Source organism: Homo sapiens, chromosome 22 (assembly GCF_000001405.40).
Source record: "Homo sapiens chromosome 22, GRCh38.p14 Primary Assembly".
NCBI classification, from domain to species: domain Eukaryota; kingdom Metazoa; phylum Chordata; class Mammalia; order Primates; family Hominidae; genus Homo; species Homo sapiens.
In genome coordinates, this window is record NC_000022.11 from 50,328,999 (window position 1) to 50,347,061 (window position 18,063).

The 18,063-nt window shown below is 53.0% G+C and overlaps 1 protein-coding gene across 39 annotated transcripts in view, besides 7 other annotated features; it reads left to right on the forward strand.

Moving 5' to 3' along the window:
* The window catches only part of PPP6R2 (protein phosphatase 6 regulatory subunit 2), a 114,317-nt gene continuing 98,029 nt past the window's right edge, over positions 1,776-18,063 (forward strand). For 38 of the 39 annotated variants that reach the window (XM_047441645.1, XM_047441659.1, XM_011530737.3 and 35 more), the window contains exon 1: positions 14,329-14,552. The gene's annotated coding sequence lies outside the window, so the exon portion shown is untranslated. Of the gene's footprint in view, positions 1,998-14,328; positions 14,553-18,063 lie in introns of those variants that run through there. The other variant, XM_047441654.1, reaches the window with a different exon arrangement.
* Positions 3,296-3,485: a silencer, noted in NCBI's record as "fragment chr22:50770723-50770912 (GRCh37/hg19 assembly coordinates)". NCBI's record gives its function as "represses an EF-1alpha promoter that drives an FKBP-Casp9 reporter gene in an ReSE screen in K562 erythroleukemia cells {active_cell/tissue: K562}" and the evidence as "EXISTENCE:reporter gene assay evidence [ECO:0000049][PMID:32094911]".
* Positions 5,094-5,223: an enhancer, noted in NCBI's record as "active region_19316". NCBI's record gives its function as "activates an Ori minimal core promoter by ATAC-STARR-seq in GM12878 lymphoblastoid cells {active_cell/tissue: GM12878}" and the evidence as "EXISTENCE:reporter gene assay evidence [ECO:0000049][PMID:35858748]".
* Positions 11,805-11,854: an enhancer, noted in NCBI's record as "active region_19317". NCBI's record gives its function as "activates an Ori minimal core promoter by ATAC-STARR-seq in GM12878 lymphoblastoid cells {active_cell/tissue: GM12878}" and the evidence as "EXISTENCE:reporter gene assay evidence [ECO:0000049][PMID:35858748]".
* Positions 13,037-13,683: an enhancer, noted in NCBI's record as "H3K27ac-H3K4me1 hESC enhancer chr22:50780464-50781110 (GRCh37/hg19 assembly coordinates)". NCBI's record gives its function as "activates a minimal SCP1, AML or CMV promoter by ChIP-STARR-seq in naive and primed H9 embryonic stem cells {active_cell/tissue: H9 hESC(naive and primed)}" and the evidence as "EXISTENCE:reporter gene assay evidence [ECO:0000049][PMID:30033119]".
* Positions 13,780-13,949: a silencer, noted in NCBI's record as "silent region_13976". NCBI's record gives its function as "represses an Ori minimal core promoter by ATAC-STARR-seq in GM12878 lymphoblastoid cells {active_cell/tissue: GM12878}" and the evidence as "EXISTENCE:reporter gene assay evidence [ECO:0000049][PMID:35858748]".
* Positions 14,220-14,499: a silencer, noted in NCBI's record as "silent region_13977". NCBI's record gives its function as "represses an Ori minimal core promoter by ATAC-STARR-seq in GM12878 lymphoblastoid cells {active_cell/tissue: GM12878}" and the evidence as "EXISTENCE:reporter gene assay evidence [ECO:0000049][PMID:35858748]".
* Positions 14,510-14,589: a silencer, noted in NCBI's record as "silent region_13978". NCBI's record gives its function as "represses an Ori minimal core promoter by ATAC-STARR-seq in GM12878 lymphoblastoid cells {active_cell/tissue: GM12878}" and the evidence as "EXISTENCE:reporter gene assay evidence [ECO:0000049][PMID:35858748]".

Below are 18,063 nucleotides of genomic sequence, written 5' to 3' on the forward strand. Positions count from 1 at the left end.
AAATTAGCCAGGCATGGTGGCGGTCACCTGTGATCCTAGCTACTCAGGAGGCTAAGGCATGAGATCGCTTGAACCTGGGAGGTGGAGGTTGCAGTGAGCCGAGATCAAGCCACTGCACTCCAGCCTGTGTGACAGAGCGAGACTTTGTCTCAAAAAAAGATAAAAAAAGAAAATGGAAACATTCCTACCAACAGTTTATGTTTCCTTTGCTCCACATCCTTCCCAACATTTGGTGTTGCCAAGCGTCTTCATTGTAGCCAGCCAATGAGTGGGTAGTGGTATCTTGTGATTTTTAAAATTTTGTTTATTTTATAGAGAAGAGATCTCATCCTATCACCCAGGCTGAAGTTCAGTGATGTCATCATAGCTCACTGCAGCCTGGAACTCCTGGGCTCAAGGGATCCTCCTTCATTGGCCTCCCAAGTAGCTGTAACTACAGGCATGTGCCACCGTGCCTGGGTATTCTTGTGGTTTTGATTTGCATTTCCCTGATTACTAATGGTCTTGAGCATTTTTTTCCCCTGTGGTTATTGCATGCCATCATTGTAAGATGTACTCTGATTTTGAGGTAGGAGGCAGAACTTTATTCCAGACCAGATTAAAGACTGGCTGAAGGCCGGGCGCGGTGGCTCACGCCTGTAATCCTAACACTTTGGGAGGCCGAAAAGGCGAGCAGATCAGCAGATCGAGACCATCCTGGCTAACACGGTGAAACCTCATCTCTACTAAAAGTACAGAAAATTAGCCGGGTGTGGTGGCTGGTGCCTGTAGTCTCAGCTACTCGGGAGGCTGAGGCAGGAGAATCACTTGAACCCAGGAGGCGGAGGTTGCAATGAGCTGAGATCGCACCACTGCACTCCAGCCTGGGCGACAGAGGGAGACTCTGTCTCAAAAAAAAAAAAAAAAAAAAAAAGCTGGCTGAAACTGGGAAGAGGCAAAAGCACCGCTCCATGAGACATGCCCACCAGTGCCATCTCTGTTTACCATTGCCATGGCAACACCCACAAGTTACTGCCGCTTCCCATGATAACCACCCCAAAGTTAACGACCTTTTTCTAAAACTTTCTGAATAACTTGCACCTTAATTTGTACATAATTAAAAGTAGTTGGCCGGGTATGGTGGCTCACGCCTGTAATCCCAGCACTTTGGGAGGTCGAGGCGGGCAGATCATGAGATAAGGAGATCGAGACCATCCTGGCTAACACAGTGAAACACCGTCTCTACTAAAAATACAGAAATTAGCCAGGCGTGGTAGCGGGCACTTGTAATCCCAGCTACTCGGGAGGCTGAGGTACGAGAATCGCTTGAACCCAGGAGGCAGAGGTTGCAGTGAGCTGAGGTTGCGCCATTGCACTCCAGCCTGGGCGACATACTGAGGCTCTGTCTCAAAAAAAAGAAAAGAAACGAAAAAAAAACAGAGAGAGAGCCGGGCGCGGTGGCTCATGCCTGTAGTCCCAGCACTTTGGGAGGCCAAGGCGGGCGGATCATGAGGTCAGGAGAGATTGAGACCATCCTGGCTAACACAGTGAAACCCTGTCTCTACTAAAAATACCAAAAAAAAAAAAAAAAAGCCGGGCGTGGTGGCAGGCACCCTTATCCCAGCTACTCTGGAGGCTGAGACAGGAGAATGGCGTGAGCCCAGGAGGCGGAGCTTGCAGTGAGCCGAGATCGCGCCACTGCACTCCAGCCTTGGGCAACAGAGCAAGACTCCGTCTCAAAAAAAAAAAAAAAAAAAAAAGAAAAGAAAAAAGAAAAAAAGAAAGAGAGGAGGCTTAGAGTCAGAGAAGTCAATGTGGTGCTGGGATCTGAGAAAAAGAACCTGGAAGATGGTCAGTTGCTGGCTTTGAAGATGGAGGAAGACACTAAACCAAGGGATGCAGGACAAGCTGGAAAAGGCAAGGACATAGATTTTCCCTGGAGCTTCCCAGAGGAAGCCAACATCTGGATTTTCGTCCCATAAGACTCATCTCAGATTTGTGAGCTCCAGGACTGTAAGGTAATAAATGCGTGTGGTTGTAAGCCATGACGTGTGTGGGGACCTGTGTCAGCAGCAACCGGAAACTACTGCATGGACGATCTAGTTTATTCTGCCTGGTTTCTTGTGCCTCACGTTATGTTTTTGAGGTCATGCATGTTGTTGCATGTACCAGTAGTTCATTCCTTTCGTGAATAGTATTTTATATGATGTTTTCGTGTCCATTTACCATTTGAAGGACATTTGGATTATTTCCAGTGTTTGCTTATTATGACTCATGCTGCTGTGACATTTGTGTACAAGTCTCGGTGTGGACACACGTTTCCATTTTTTTGGCATAGATATGTAGGAGTGAAAGTATTGGGCTGTATGGTAAGTTTATATTCAAATGTTGGAGAAATTATCAAACTTTTCCGAACAGTTTTACATTTCCACTAGGAATGTATAAAGGTTCCAGTTCTCCACATCCTCCCCAACGCTTAGTATTATTGTTCCAGCCGTTCGAGGGGGTCTGCAGTGGTACTTTCTTGTGGGCGAGTTTGGCATTTCCCTGATGATTAATGGTGTTGAGCATCTTATGTGCTCCTAAGTCATTTGTGTTAGCTTCTTTAAAAAAATGTTTATGCAGCTTTTTTGCCTATTTTTTTTAACTTCTTTTTTTGAGACAGAGTCTCGCTTATGTCACCTAGACTGGATGGAATGCAATTATGTGATCTCAGCTCACTGCAACCTCTGCCTCCCGAGTTCAAGCAATTCTCCTGCCTCAGCCTCCCGAGTAGCTGGGATTACAGATGCATGCTACCATTCCTGGATAATTTTGTATTTTTAGTAGAGACGGGGTTTCACCATATTGGCCAGGCTGGTCTTGAACTCCTGACCTTGTGATCCACCCGCCTTGGCCTCTCAAAGTGCTGGGATTACAGGCGTGAGCCATTGCATCCGGCCCTATTTTATTTTATTTTATTTATTTTGGAGAGACAGGGTTTTGCCATGTTGCCCAGGCTGGTCTTGAACTCCTGGGCTCAAGCAATCTTCCTACCTCAGCCTCCCAAAGTGCTGGGATTACAGGTGCATGCCACCACACCCAGGTATCTTTTATGTTTCTTAATGGCATCTTTTGAAGATCAAATATTATAATTCTGATGAAATCTAATGTACCATTTTCTTTCATGGATTATGGTTTTGGTGTCATATCTAAGAAATGTCTTAACCTAAGGTCCTAAGTCAAATAATACTTTTTATGTTTCTTCTAGAAGATTTTTTTTTTTTTTGAGATGGAGTCTTGCTCTGTTGCCCAGACTGGAGTGCAGTGGTGCAATCTTGGCTCACTGCAAGCTCCGCCTCCCAGGTTCACCCCCCCATTCTTCTGCCTCAGCCTCCTGAGTAGCTGGGAGTACAGGTGCCCACCACCACACCTGGTTAATTTTTTGTATTTTTAGTAGAAGCGGGGTTTCACTGTGTTAGCCAGGATGGTCTTGATCTCCTGACCTCGTGATCCGCCTGTCTCAGCCTCCCAAAGTGCTGGGATTACAGGCGTGAGCCACTGCGCCTAGCCTCTTCTAGAAGATTTTTAGCTCTTATATTTAGGTCTGTGATTCACTTTGAATTAATTTTTGTGTATGGTATGAGATAAGGAGATAAGGTTTAAATCCTTTTTTTTTTTTTTTTGAGATGGAGTCTCGCTCTGTCACCAGGCTGAAGTGCAATGGCGTGATCTTGGCTCACTGCAGCCTCCACCTCTTGGGTTCAAGCGATTCTCCTGCCTTAGCCTCCCAAGTAGTGGGTACTACAGGCACGCACCACCACGCCCAGCTAATTTTTGTATTTTTAGTAGAGACGGGGTTTCACCATGTTGGCCAGGATGGTCTTGATCTCTTGACGTCGTGATCCACCCGCCTCTGCCTCCCCATGGGCTGGGATTACAGGCCTGAGCCACCACAACCAGTCCTAAATTCTTTTTTTATATAGATAATCAGTTTTTCCAATACCATTTGTTGAAAATATATTGTTTTCCCATAAAATTGACTTAGGAGCGAGGTGTGGTGGTTCAGCTACTTGGGAGGCTGAAGCAGGAGGATCACCTAAGCCCAGGAGGTGGAGACTGTAGTGAGCTGTGATCGCACCAGTGCACTCCAGCCTGGGTAACAGAGTGAGACCTCATCTCTAAATAAATAAATAAATAAACTTAGCACTTCTGTTAAAAAAATCAATCGATGATAATTGTGAGGGTTTTTTTTAATTCTCTATTCTGTTCCCTTGATCTATATGCTTTTCCTTATACTAATTCTGTCCTGTCTTCATTATTCTAGCTTTGTAGTAAGTTTTGAGATCACGTAGTGTAAGTCCTCCAGCTTTGTTCTTTTTCTTTTTTTTTTTTTTTGAGACGGAGTCTCGCTCTGTCGCCCAGGCTAGAGTGCAGTGGCACAATCTTGGCTCACTGCAAGCTCCGCCTCCCGGGTTCACGCCATTCTCCTGCCTCAGCCTCCTGAGTACCTGGGACTACAGGCGCCTGCCACCACGCCCGGCTAATTTTTGTTTTTAGTAGAAACAGGTTTCACCGTGTTAGCCAGGATGGTCTCGATCTCCTGACCTCGTGATCCGCCCACCTCGGCCTCCCAAAGTGCTGGGATTACAGTCATGAGCCACCGCGCCTGGCCCCAGCTTTGCTCTTTTTCAAAATTGTTTTGACTATTTTGTGTAGGGTCCAGCCCTACAGGGCCTGTTGGTTTTTCTTTTTGTGTGTGGAGACGAGAGATCGTAGAAATAAAGACGCAAGACAAAGAGATAGAAGAAAAGACAGCTGGGCCCTGGGGACCACTACCACCAAGACATGGAGACCGGTAGTGGCCCTGAATGCCTGGCAGCACCGTTATTTATTGTTTACAAGGCAAGAGGGCAGGGTAAGGAGTGTGGGTTGTCTCCAATGATAGGTAAGGTCACGCGAGTCACGTGTCCATGGGCCAGGGGGCCCTTCCCTATTTGGTAGCCAAGGTGGAGAGAGAGAGAGGACAGGTAACGTCATTATTTCTTTTATGTATTTCTTGGAGAGATCAAATACTTTAATACTTTCACTAACTTTGCTACTGCTATCTAGAAGGCGGAGCCAGGTGTACAGGGCGGAACATGAAAGTGGACTAGGAGCGTGACCGCTGAAGCACAGCATCACAGAGACGTTTAGGCCTCCGGATGGCTGCGGGCGGGCCTGACTGATGTCAGGCCTTCCACAAGAGGTGGTGGAGCAGAGTCTTCTCTAACTCCTTTTCCTGGTCCGCTGAGTAACAGGTGCCTTCCCAGGCTCTGGCGTTACCGCTAGACCAAGGAGTCCTCTAGAGGCCCTGTCCGGGCGTGACAGAGGCTCACCCTCTTGTCTTCTGGTCACTTCTCACCGTGTCCCTTCAGCTCCTATCTCTGTATGGCCTGGTTTTTCCTAGGTTATACTTGTAGAACAAAGATTATTATAATATTGGATTAAAGAGTAATGCTATAAGCTAATAATTAGTAATATTCATATATAATCATATATATAATCTATTTCTAGTATAGCTTCTCGTCGTATATGTTTCCTTTATTATACTGGAACAGCTTGTTTCTTTGGTCTCTTGCCTTGGCACCTGGGTGGCTTGCCGCCCACAATTTTGATCATTTGCATATCTATACAGATTTCAGTATTAGCTTGTCAATTTCCACCACCAACAAAAACACCTGCTGAAGCCAGGTGCGGTGGCTCACGCCTATAATCCTAGCACTTTGGGAGGCCAAGGTGGGTGGCTCACTTGAGCTCAGGAGTTCAAGACCAGCCTGGCAAACATGGTGAAACTCTGTCTCTACTAAAAATGCAAAAAATTAGCTGGGTGTGGTGTCGCGTGCCTGTAGTCCCAGCTACTTAGGAGACTGAGGCAGGAGAATCGCTTGAACCCAGGAGGCAAGATCGCACCAACTGCACTCCAGCCTGGGCAACAGAGTGAGACTCTGTGTCAAAAAACAAACAAACAAATAAAAAACACCTGCTGAGATTTTGCCAGAGATTACATTGGATCCACAGATCAATTTGGGGGAGAATTGCTATCTTAACAATGTTGAGTTGTTTTTATTTTTGAGACAGGGTCTCGCTCTGTCGCCCAGGCTGGAGTGCAGTGGCGCAATCTCGGCTCACCACAACCTCCGCCTCCCAGGTTCAAGCGATTCTGCTGCATCAGCCTCCTGAGTAGCTGGGACTACAGGTGCCCGCCACAACACCCGGCTAATTTTTTTTTTTTTTTTTTTTTTTTTTAGTAGAGATGGGTTTTCACCGTGTTAGCCAGGGTGGTTTTGATCTCCTCACCTGGTGATCCACCTGCCTTGGCCTCCCAAAGTGCTGGGATTACAGGTGTGAGCCACCGCGCCCAGCCATAATTTTTGTATTTTTAGTAGTGACGGGGTTTCACCATATTGGCCAGACTGGTCTCAAACTGACCTTGTGATCTGCCCGCCTCGGCCTCCCAAAGTGCTGGGATTACAGGTGACAGCCACCGCATCTGGCCCTTGTTTTTTGTTTTGTTTTGTTTTGTTTTGTTTTTGAGACGAAGTCTCACTCTGTCGCCAGGCTGGAGTGCAGTGGTCCAATCTCGGCACACTGCAACTTCCACCTCCTGGGTTCAGGTGATTCTCCTGCCTCAGCCTCCCGAGTAGGTGAGACTACAGGTGCGCACCACCACACCCAACTAATTTTTTTTTTTTTTTGAGATGGAGTCTCGCTCTGTCACCCAGGCTTGAGAGCAGTGGCGCAATCTTGGCTCACTGCAAACTCCACCTCCTGAGTTCACGCCGTTCTCCTGCCTCAGCCTCCCCAGTATCTGGGACTACAGGCACCTGCCACCACGCCCGACTAATTTTTTTGTATTTTTAGTAGAGATGAGGTTTCACCATGTGGGCCGGGCTGGTCTCGAGCTCCTGACCTCGTGATCCGCCTGCCTTGGCCTCCCAAAGTGCTGAGATTACAGGCGTGAGCCACTGCACCCAGCCACAATGTTGAATGTTTTTTTTCTTTTTGAGACAGAGTCTTGCTCTATCGTCCAGGCTGGAGTGCAGTGACACAATCTTGGTTCACTGCAAGCTCTGCCTCCTGGGTTCACGCCATTCTCCCACCTCAGCCTCCTGAGTAGCTGGGATTACAGACGCCTGCCACCATGCCCGGCTAATTTTGTTTTTGTATTTTTAGTAGAGACGCGGTTTCACCATGTTAGCCAGGATGGTCTCGATCTCCTGACCTCATGATCCACCCACCTCGGCTTCCCAAAGTGCTGGGATTACAGGTGTGAGTCACCGCGTCCAGCCTGAATTTTTAAACCAATTTTAACCAAAAATATGACATGTCTGTCAACTTATTTAGGTCTTCTCCAACTTTTATCAGCAGGGTCATTATTTTATTTTATTTTATTTTGAGATGGAGTTTCGCTCTTGTTGCCCAGGCTGGAGTGCGAAGGCGCGATCTCAGCTCACTGCACCCTCCACTCGCGGGTTCAAGTGATTCTCCTGCCTCAGCCTCCCAAGTAGCTGGGACTACAGTCGTGCATCACCATGCCCAGCTAATTTTTGTGTTTTTAGTAGAGAAAAATTTTTTTTTAGAGACTGGGTCTCACCGTATTGTCCTGGCTGGTCTCAAACTCCTGGCCTCAAGTGATCCTCTTGCCTCAGCCTCCCAAATTGCTGGGATTATAGGTGTAAGCCACCACACCTGGCCTGTTCCTTCTTTATTTTAATTAATTAATTTAGAGACAGGGTCTTGCTCTGTCACTCAGGTTGCAGTACAGTGGCGTGGTCACAGTTCACTGCAGCCCCGACCTCCAGGGCTCAGGCAATCTTCCCACCTCAGCCTCCAGAGTAGCTGGGACTACAGGCGTGCACCACCATGCCCAGCTAATTTTAAAAATTTTTGTAGAGACAGGCTCTCGCTGTGTTGCCCAGGCTAGACTGTCCTTTCTTGAACACAAACTTAACTTCATTACTTTATAATTAATCCCCTCTTGTTGATAATATTTTTATATCAAACTTTCCCTGTTGAAATCATTGTGTGGTCTCTGTCCCTTTATTGAACCATAACTAGTGATACAATTTTGAAGGAGGAAAAACCAAGCAGGGAAGGTGGTGATGAAGAGAGTGTGTGTGTGTGTGTGTGTGTGGTGTGTCTGTGTGTACAGTGTGTGTGTGCGATGTGTGGTGTGTGTGGGGTGTGTGCGTGTGTGCTGTGTGGGTATAGTGTGTGTGGGGTATGTGTGTGGTGTATTGGTGTGTGTGTGTGGTGTGTGTGCAGTGTGTGTGGTACATGTGTGGTGTGTGGTATGTGGGGGTGTGTGTGTGCGCCTGCATGTGTGTGTGGTGTGTGTGTCTGCGATGTGTGGTGTGTGGGTGTGTGTGTGCTGTGTGGGGGGTGTGTGTGTGTAGTGTGTGTGTGCGATGTGTGGTGTGTGTGGGGTGTGTGTGTGCGGTACGTGTGTGGTGTGTGTGGTATGTAGTGTGTGTAGTGTTTGTCTGCGATGTGTGGTGTGTGTGCGGTGTGTGGGGTGTGTGCGTGTGTGTATAGTGTGTGCGATGTGTGGTGTGTGTGGGGTCTGTGTGTCTGTGTAGTGTGTGTGCGATGTGTGGTGTGTTGGGGGTGTGTGTGCTGTGTGCGGTATGTGTGCTGTGTGGGTATAGTGTGTGTGTGGTGTGTGTGGTGTGTGTGTGTGTGCCATATGTGGTGTGGTGTGTGTGCGGTGTGGTATATGTGTACTGTGTGGTATGTAGTGTGTGTGGTATGTGGAGTGTGCACGATGTGTATGGTGTGTGTGTGGGTGTGTGTGTGCTGTGTGGGGCATGTGTGCTATCTGGGTACAGTGTGTGTGTGGGGTGTGTGTGGTGTGTTGGTGTGTCTGTGTGTGGTGTATGTGTGGTGTGTGGTGTGTGTGGTCTGTGTGGTGTAGTGTGTGTGGTGTGTGGGGTGTGTGCATGTGTGTGTGATGTGTGTGGTGTGTGTGGGTGTGTGTGCTGTGTAGGGTGTGTATGTTGTGTGGGTATAGTGTGTGTGGGGGGTATGTGTGGTGTGTTTGTGTATGTGTGGTGTGATGTGTGTGGTGTGTGTGGTGTGTGTGATGTGTAGTGTGTGTGGTGTGTGGTATGTGGTGTGTGTGCATGTGCGTGCATGTGTATGTAGTGTGTGTGGTATGTGTGTGCGATGTGTGAGGTGTGTGTGTGCTGTGTGGGTATAGTGTGTGTCGGGGGTGTGTGTGGTGTGTTGGTGTGTGTGTGTGGTGTGTTTGTGTCTATGTGTGGTGCGTGTGAAGTGTGTGGTGTGTTTGTGGTGTGTAGTGTGTGGTGTGTGTGTGGTGTGTGGTGTGTGTGTGGTATATGTAGTGTGTGTGGTATATGGTGTGTGGTGTGTGTATGGTATATAGTGTCTGTGGTATGTGGTGTGTGTGGTATGTGTGTGTAGGGTGTGTGGTGTGTGTAGAGTGTGTGGTGTGTGGTATGTAGTGTGTGTTATGTGTGTGTTATGTAGTGTATGTGGTATGTGGTGTGTGTAGTGTGTGTGTGCGGTGTGTGTGTAGGGTGTGTGGTGTGTGTGGTATGTAGTGTGTGTGTTTGGTGTGGTGTGTGTTTGTGGTGTGTGGTGTGTGTGGTATGTAGTATGTGTGGTATATGGTGTGTGGTGTCTGTGGTATGTAGTGTGTGTGGTATGTGGTGTGTGTGTAGTATGTGGTGTGTGTGGTGTGTGTAGGGTGTGTGGTGTGTGTGTGGTGTGTAGTGTGTGTGTTATGTGGTATGTGTGGTAGGTAGTGTGTGTGGTATGTGGTGTGTGTGGTGTGTATGTACGGTGTCTGGTGTGTGTGTGTGTAGGGTGTGTGGTGTGTGTGTGGTGTGTGGTGTGTGATGTGTGTGGTATGTAGTGTGTGTGTTATGTGGGGTATGTGTGGTGTGTGTGGTAGTGTGTGTGGTATGTGGTGTGTGTGGGTGTGTAGGGTGTGGTGGGTGTGTAGGGTGTGTGGTGTGTGTGTGGTATGTAGTATGTGTGGTATGTGGTGTGTGGTGTGTGTGTGTGGTGTGTGTGTGTGGTATGTAGTGTGTTATGTGGTGTGGTGTATGTGGTATGTGGTGTGTGGTGTGTGTGGTATGTAGTGTGGTATGTAGTGTGTGTTATGTAGTGTGTGTGGTTTGTGGTGTGTGTGTGGTATGTGGTGTGTGTGGTGTGCGTGTGGTATGTAGTGTGTGTTGTATGTGGTGTGTGTGTAGGGTGTGTGGTGTGTTTACGGTGTGTGTTGTGTGTGTTGTGTGATTGTGTGGTGTGTGTAGGGTGTGTGTTGTGTGTGGTATGTGGTGTGTGTTGTGGGTGTAGTGTGTGTGGTGTGTGTGGTATGTAGTGTGTGGTATGTGGTGTGTGTGGCTTGCGTGTGGTATGTAGTGTGTGTGTGGTATGTGGTGTGTGTGTAGGGTGTGTGGTGTGTGTTTACGGTGTGTGTTGTGTGTGGTGTGTGATTGGTGTGTGTGTAGTGTGTGGTGTGTATAGGGTGTGTGTTGTGTGTGTGGTGTGTGTGGTATGTGGTGTGTGGTGTGTGTGTGGTGTGTGTGTGGTGTGTGTGGTATGTAGTGTGTGTGTGGTGTGTGTGGTATGGTGTGTGCGGTGTGTGTGGTATGTAGTGTGTGTTATGTGGTGTGTGTGTAGGGTGTGTGGTGTATGTTTCGAGTGTGTGTTGTGTGTGGTGTGATTGGTGTGTAGTGTGTGGTGTGTGTAGGGTGTGTGTTGTGTGTGTGGTATATAGTATGTGGTGGTGTGTGGTGTGTGTGGTATGTGGTGTGTGTGTGGTGTGTGTGGGGTATGTGTGTGTGGTGTGTGGGGTATGTAGTGTGTGTGGTGTGTGGTGTGTGTGTGGTATGTAGTGTGTGTGTGGTGTGGTGTGTGTGTGGGGTGTGTGGTGTGTGTGGTATGTGGTGTGTGTGTGGGGTGTGTGGTGTGTGTGTTATGTAGTGTGTGTGTGTTGTGTGGTGTGTGTGGTATGTAGTGTGTGTTATGTGGCGTGTGTGTGGTATGTAGTGTGTGTGTAGGGTGTGTGGTGTGTGTTTAGGGTGTGGTGTGTGGTGTGTGATGTGTGTGTGGTGTGTGTGGTATGTAGTATGTGTGGTATGTGGTGTGTGTACAGTGTGTGGTGTGTACAGTGTGTGGTGTGTGTAGGGCGTGTGGTGTGTGTGTAGGGTGTGTATGTGGTGTGTGTGTGGTATGGAGTGTGTGGTATGTGGTGTGTATGGTATGTGGTGTGTGTGGTGTGTGTGGAGGGTGTGTGTGGTGTGTGTGGTATGTGGTATGTGTGTGGTATGTGGTGTGTGTCTCGGGTGTGTGTGGTGTGTGTAGGGTGTGTATGTGGTGTGTGTGTGGTATGGAGTGTGTGGTATGTGGTGTGTATGGTATGTGGTGTGTGTGGTGTGTGTGTAGGGTGTGTGTGGTGTGTGTGGTGTGTGTGGTATGTGGTGTGTGTGTGGTATGTGGTGTGTGTCTCGGGTGTGTGTGGTGTGTGTAGGGTGTGGTGTGTGTGTGGTGTGTGTGGGGGGTATGTGGTGTGTGTGTCGCGTGTGTGTGGTATGTAGTGTGTGTGGTATGTGGTGTGTGGTGTGTGTGTGTGGTGTGTGGTGTGTGCGTATGATTGTGAGTTGAAACAGTGACCAGGGAAACCCCCACAGGGAAGGGCACAGTGCAGTCAAGGTCCCAGAGGCCACTCCTAAGCACAGCAATGACCAAGGAAGGCCCTGCGGGGATGCAGGGACAGCAGCAGCCAACGGCGGGAGGTCATCGGGATGGGAGCCATGAGCAAGGGGAGTAGGAGAGGTGAGCTCAGGTCATGTAGGGCCCTGTGGGCAACAGCAGGGACTTTGTCGTTCAGCCTGTGAGGCAAGAGCTCCTAGGGGTAGGGAAGATGTGATGTGACCTATTTCATTTCATTTCATTAAATGAAATAAATGACTCGCTCTGTCGCCCAGGCTGGAGTGCAGTGACGTGATCTTGGCTCGCTGCAACCTTCACCTCCCGGGTTCAAGTGATTCTCCTGCCTCAGCCTCCCGAGTAGCTGGGACTGCAGGCGCCCGCCACCGCGCCTGGTTAATTTTTTATATGTTTAGTAGAGACCGGGTTTCACCATGTTGGCCAGGCTGGTCTCGATCTCCTGACTTCAAATGATCCACCCGCCTCGGCTTCCCAAAGTGCTGGGATTACAGGTGTGAGCCACCGCGCCTGTCCCTTTATTTTTTTGAGACATGGTCTTGTTCTGTTACCCGGGCTGGAATGAAGTGGCAACATCATAGCTCATTGAAGCCTCAACTACCTGGGCTCAGGCAATCCTCCCGCCTCAGTCGGCCAAGTAGCTGGGACCACAGGCTCATCACCACACCTGGCTAGTTTTTTAATTTTTTGTAGAGACAGGGGCCCCACTTGTTGCCGAGGCTGTTCTCAAACTCCTGGGCTCCAGCGATCCTCCTGCCTAGGCCTCCTGAAGTGCTGGGATTACAGGTGTGAGCCACCGTGCCCAGGCAATCGGATCTGTTTTAACTGGACCCCTCTGGGTGCTTTGCTGATTACAGCAAGCTGACCTACAGCAAGTACTCCAGGATAGAAGCAGGGGGCCCCTGTAGGTCTCAGGAGTCAGGAGAGAGAAACTGGTTTTGAACCAGAATGTTGGTAGTGGAGCTACCACATGTTGCAGTGATGAATCCAGTGTGGGTGAGAGAGGAGGAGAGGGCTGGCCGGGCGCGGCGGCTCAGGCCTGTAATCCCAGCACTCTGGGAGGCCGAGGCGGGCGGATCACGAGGTCAGGAGATCAAGACCATCCTGGCTAACACAGTGAAACCCCGTCTCTACTAAAAATACAAAAATTAGCCGGGCGCGGTGGCGGGCGCCTGTAGTCCCAGCTACTCGGGAGGCTGAGGCAGGAGAATGGCGTGAACCCAGGAGGCGGAGCTTGCAGTGAGCCGAGATCGCGCCACTGCACTCCAGCCTGGGCGACAGAGCGAGACTCCGTCTCAAAAAAAAAAAAGAGGAGGAGAGGGGCTCCTGCTCACCCCAGTTGCACTGGCTGAGCACAGGAGGGGTATCAAGATCAGGCAGAGTTGCACGTGCTCACGGCAGCAGGAGCATCTCCTGCATCTGGTGCCCCTGGCCCCAGTCCCCATTCCGTAGCTCAACTCAGCAGCACCTCCCGCTCCTGCAAAGGAGACCATGGTGAGGGCAGGAGAAGGGCATAGCCTGCTGAACGCAGGGTGTCTCTTCTCTAGGTTGTGAGGCTGAGGCTTTTTCACCCCCACTTCCTGGAAGTTCCCTCAACGGAACCTGCCAGAAATCTGCCCCTTAGGATGCTAGGGGAAAAGCTTTTGCTGGGGAAAGGCTCGCCAGAGGCATCTGCTATAAAACCGGCGAGGAGGGTGCTGCTGACCAGGGCAGGGGACAGGCGTCGGGGAAGCCCGGGGCCGCCAGCCGCAGGGCCAAGCCCTTTTCTCCTGCAACGTCTCTGGCGCCCTCTACCGACAAAGCCTAACAGCGCCAGCTGGCAAAAGAGAAATACCGAATATTTGAGCCGCCCAGATACGCTTTCGCAGAGAGCATCGGTGAATCCTGGGCAATACACTGACAACTGGAAAAAACGTTTAGAGATCCCTTAAGTGCTCCATGTTTTCCCAACATTTACCCACGGCTCGCTCTAACATCTGAAATAATAGTAATCATTTTTGAAATTATTTTGATGGAATTAAACAATTCCAGCACTTGTTAAATAGGCACATACTTAATTTGCAAAACGCCGTGCAAGAACCCGTAGCGCACCTGGAGAAAACTGTCTGGAGGCGGCTCAGGCACTCCGGGTCCAGGCAGGACGCGGGACGGGGAGGGGCCAGGCCTGGCGCCCGGGGCTGAGCCCGCTCCTGCTGCTCGGGGCGTCCACGCCCCGCGGCCTCTGGGAGGGGCCTGTGGCAGGAGGGAGGCCCGGGAGAACAGGCCCTTTCCTGGGCCACGGGGGAAACCCCTGCCCCAGGTGTGTGTCTCTCAAATGCTGCGTCGGGCCACGCGAGGATTGTTTTGTGGCTACAACAAAATTAACTATGCTTGCACAAAACTTTAGCCAATACCTCAAAGGGAAACGTAAAAGGGGAAAGACGCACTCTTACCCCACCCACTCCAAGGCAGCAGTCAGCACACCCAAGCCCTCGTGCTCCCACGCGGGTTTCACCGAGTGCCCCACTCCAGGGGGCCCGGAGAGCCGGCCCAGGTCCCGGCCCCGCCCACCCGCGCGGCCCCGCCCCCGGCCGCGAGCGTGCGCGCCCCAAGCGGAGACCCCGCCCCCGGAGCGCGTGCCCGTGCGCCGCCGCCGCCATTTTGGAGCGATCGGAGTGCCGCCCGCGGCCCCGAGTCGGTCTCGAGCCGCCGGCCGGCCGTGCCGGTGTCCGTAGGCGCTGCGCCCTCGGCCGGGCCCATGTGTGTGCGGCCCGCCCGAGGCCGCCCGGGCTTTGCCTCCACCAGCGCCCTGGCCTCCGCTCGGGCCTCCACACGGGCCTCCGAAGAGCTGCCGCGACGCCCGGCCCGCAGGGCAGGTGAGTGCGGCCGCCCGCCGCTCAGACCCGGCCCCCAGTCTGCCAGTGCCCCCCAAGTCACTTCTCCCCGAGTCAGTCAGTGCCCCCTCCAGATAGTTATCCCCCAGTCAGTCAGTTCCCCCTCCAGTCAGTTCCCCCCAGTCGGTGCCCCCGGAGTCAGTGCCCCCCCCAAGTCAGTCAGTGCCCCCTCCAGTCAGTTCCCCCCCAGTTAGTGCACCCTCTAGTCAGTTCCCCCAGTCAGTGCCCCCTCCAGTCAGTTCCCCCCCAGTCAGTTCCCCCCCAGTCAGTTTCCCCCCAGTCAGTTTCCCCCCAGTCAGTGCCCCCCAGTCAGTGCCCCCTCCAGTCAGTTCCCCCCCAGTCAGTGCCCCCTCCAGTCAGTTTCCCCCCAGTCAGTGCCCCCTCCAGTCAGTTCCCCCCCAGTCAGTGCCTCCTCCAGTCAGTTTCCCCCAGTCAGTGCCTCCTCCAGTCAGTTTCCCCCAGTCAGTGCCCCCTCCAGTCAGTTCCCCCCCCAGTCAGTGCCCCCTCTAGTCAGTTCCCCCCCAGTCAGTGCCCCCTCTAGTCAGTTCCCCCCCAGTCAGTGCCCCCTCTAGTCAGTTTCCCCCCAGTCAGTGCCTCCTCCAGTCAGTTTCCCCCAGTCAGTGCCTCCTCCAGTCAGTTTCCCCCAGTCAGTGCCTCCTCCAGTCAGTTTCCCCCAGTCAGTGCCCCCTCCAGTCAGTTCCCCCCAGTCAGTGCCCCCCCAGTCAGTTTCCCCCCAGTCAGTGCCCCCCAGTCAGTGCCCCCCAGTCAGTGCCCCCTCCAGTCAATTCCCCCCAGTCAGTGCCCCCTCCAGTCAGTTCCCCCCCCAGTCAGTGCCCCCTTCAGTCAGTTCCCCCAGTCAGTGCCCCCTCCAGTCAGTTCCCCCCCAGTCAGTGCCCCCCCAGTCAGTTTCCCCCCAGTCAGTGCCCCCCAGTCAGTGCCCCCTCCAGTCAATTCCCCCCAGTCAGTGCCCCCTCCAGTCAATTCCCCCCAGTCAGTGCCTCCTCCAGTCAGTTTCCCCCAGTCAGTGCCCCCTCCAGTCAGTTCCCCCCAGTCAGTGCCCCCCCAGTCAGTTTCCCCCCAGTCAGTGCCCCCCAGTCAGTGCCCCCTCCAGTCAATTCCCCCTAGTCAGTGCCCCCTCCAGTCAGTTCCCCCCCAGTCAGTGCCTCCTCCAGTCAGTTTCCCCCAGTCAGTGCCTCCTCCAGTCAGTTTCCCCCAGTCAGTGCCCCCTCCAGTCAGTTCCCCCCCCAGTCAGTGCCCCCTCTAGTCAGTTCCCCCCCAGTCAGTGCCCCCTCTAGTCAGTTCCCCCCCAGTCAGTGCCCCCTCTAGTCAGTTCCCCCCCAGTCAGTGCCCCCTCTAGTCAGTTCCCCCCCAGTCAGTGCCCCCTCTAGTCAGTTTCCCCCCAGTCAGTGCCTCCTCCAGTCAGTTTCCCCCAGTCAGTGCCTCCTCCAGTCAGTTTCCCCCAGTCAGTGCCTCCTCCAGTCAGTTTCCCCCAGTCAGTGCCCCCTCCAGTCAGTTCCCCCCAGTCAGTGCCCCCCCAGTCAGTTTCCCCCCAGTCAGTGCCCCCCAGTCAGTGCCCCCTCCAGTCAATTCCCCCCAGTCAGTGCCCCCTCCAGTCAGTTCCCCCCCAAGTCAGTGCCCCCTCCAGTCAGTTCCCCCAGTCAGTGCCCCCTCCAGTCAGTTCCCCCCCAGTCAGTGCCTCCTCCAGTCAGTTTCCCCCAGTCAGTGCCCCCTCCAGTCAGTTCCCCCCCCAGTCAGTGCCCCCTCCAGTCAGTTCCCCCCCCCAGTCAGTACACCCTCTAGTCAGTTCCCCCAGTCAGTGCCCCCTCCAGTCAGTTCCCCCCAGTCAGTTTCCCCCCAGTCAGTTTCCCTCCAGTCAGTGCCCCCCAGTCAGTGCCCCCTCCAGTCAGTGCCCCCTCCAGTCAGTTTCCCCCCAGTCAGTGCCCCCTCCAGTCAGTTCCCCCCAGTCAGTTTTCCCCCAGTCAGTTTCCCTCCAGTCAGTGCCCCCCAGTCAGTGCCCCCTCCAGTCAGTGCCCCCTCCAGTCAGTTTCCCCCCAGTCAGTGCCCCCTCCAGTCAGTTCCCCCCCAGTCAGTTTCCCCCCAGTCAGTTTCCCTCCAGTCAGTGCCCCCTCCAGTCAGTTCCCCCCATCAGTGCCCCCCTAGTCAGTGCCCCCTCCAGTCAGTTCCCCCCCCCCGGTCAGTTCCCCCCCCCAGTCAGTGCCCCCTCCAGTCAGTTTCCCCCCAGTCAGTGCCCCCCAAGTCAGTGCCCCCTCCAGTCAGTTCCCCCCCAGTCAGTGCCCCCCTCCAGTCAGTTCCCCCCAGTCAGTGCATCCTCTAGTCAGTTCCCCCCAGTCAGTGAACCCTCCAGTCAGTGACCCACCCAGTCAGTGCCCCCTCCAGTCAGTTCCCCCCCAGTCAGTGCCCCCCTCCAGTCAGTTCCCCCCAGTCAGTGCATCCTCTAGTCAGTTCCCCCCAGTCAGTGAACCCTCCAGTCAGTGACCCACCCAGTCAGTGCCCCCTCCAGTCAGTTCCCCCAGTCAGTTGCCCCCCAGTCAGTGCCCCCCAAGTCAGTCAGTTCCCCCTCCAGTCAGTTCCCCCAGTCAGTCAGTGCCCCCCAGTCAGTGCCCCCCCCAAGTCAGTCACTGTCCCCTCCAGTCAGTGCCCCTCCAGTAAGTTCTCCCCAGTCAGTGCATCCCCTAGTCAGTTCCCCCCAGTCAGTGCCCCCTTCAGTGTCCCCCAGTCAGTTCCCCTCAGTCAGTGCCCCCCCAGTCAGTTCCCCCCGCAATCAGTTCCCCCGTCAGTGCCCCCTCCAGTCAGTGCCCCCCAAATCAGTGCCCCCAGTCAGTGCCCACTCCAGTCAGTTCCCCTCCAGTAAGTGCCCCCCAAGTCAGTTTCCTCCCAAGTCAGGGCCCCCTCCAGTCAGTTCCCTCCCAGTCAGTCAGTGCCCCCCCAGTCAGTGCCCTCCTTCTGTTCCCCCACCCTACACCAGTCAGTGCTTCCTGCACCAGTCAGTGTCCCCTGCTAGCTAGTCATTGCACCTCACCCATCAGTCCCCACCCCACCCATCAGTGCCCCCCACCGTCAGTCAGTGCCCCTTGCAAGTCATGCTCCTCCTGTCGGTCAGTGCCTCCGCATCTGTCAGTCCGCGCACTGGTCAGTGCCTCCACTGTTGGTCAGTGCTCCCCCACCGTCAGTCCACTCTGCTCCCCATCAGTGTCCCCCAGTCAGAGTCCCGCATCCCTGTCCCCCGTCAGCCAGTGCCCCCCCAGTCAATTATTTTCTTTCTGTCATGTCCCCACTTCCCATCAGTGCCTGCACCCCCACCCGTACCCGTCAGTCACTGACCGCATAATCCCTCCCCTGCCAGTGCCCTTCCTTGTCAGTCCAAGCGCTCTGTGACCCCTTCTGTCAGCAATGTCCCCACCTGTCATTGATCTTCTCTGTCAGTGCCCCCCATCAGTGCCAGTGCCTCTGTCAGTGAGCCCCACTGTCAGTA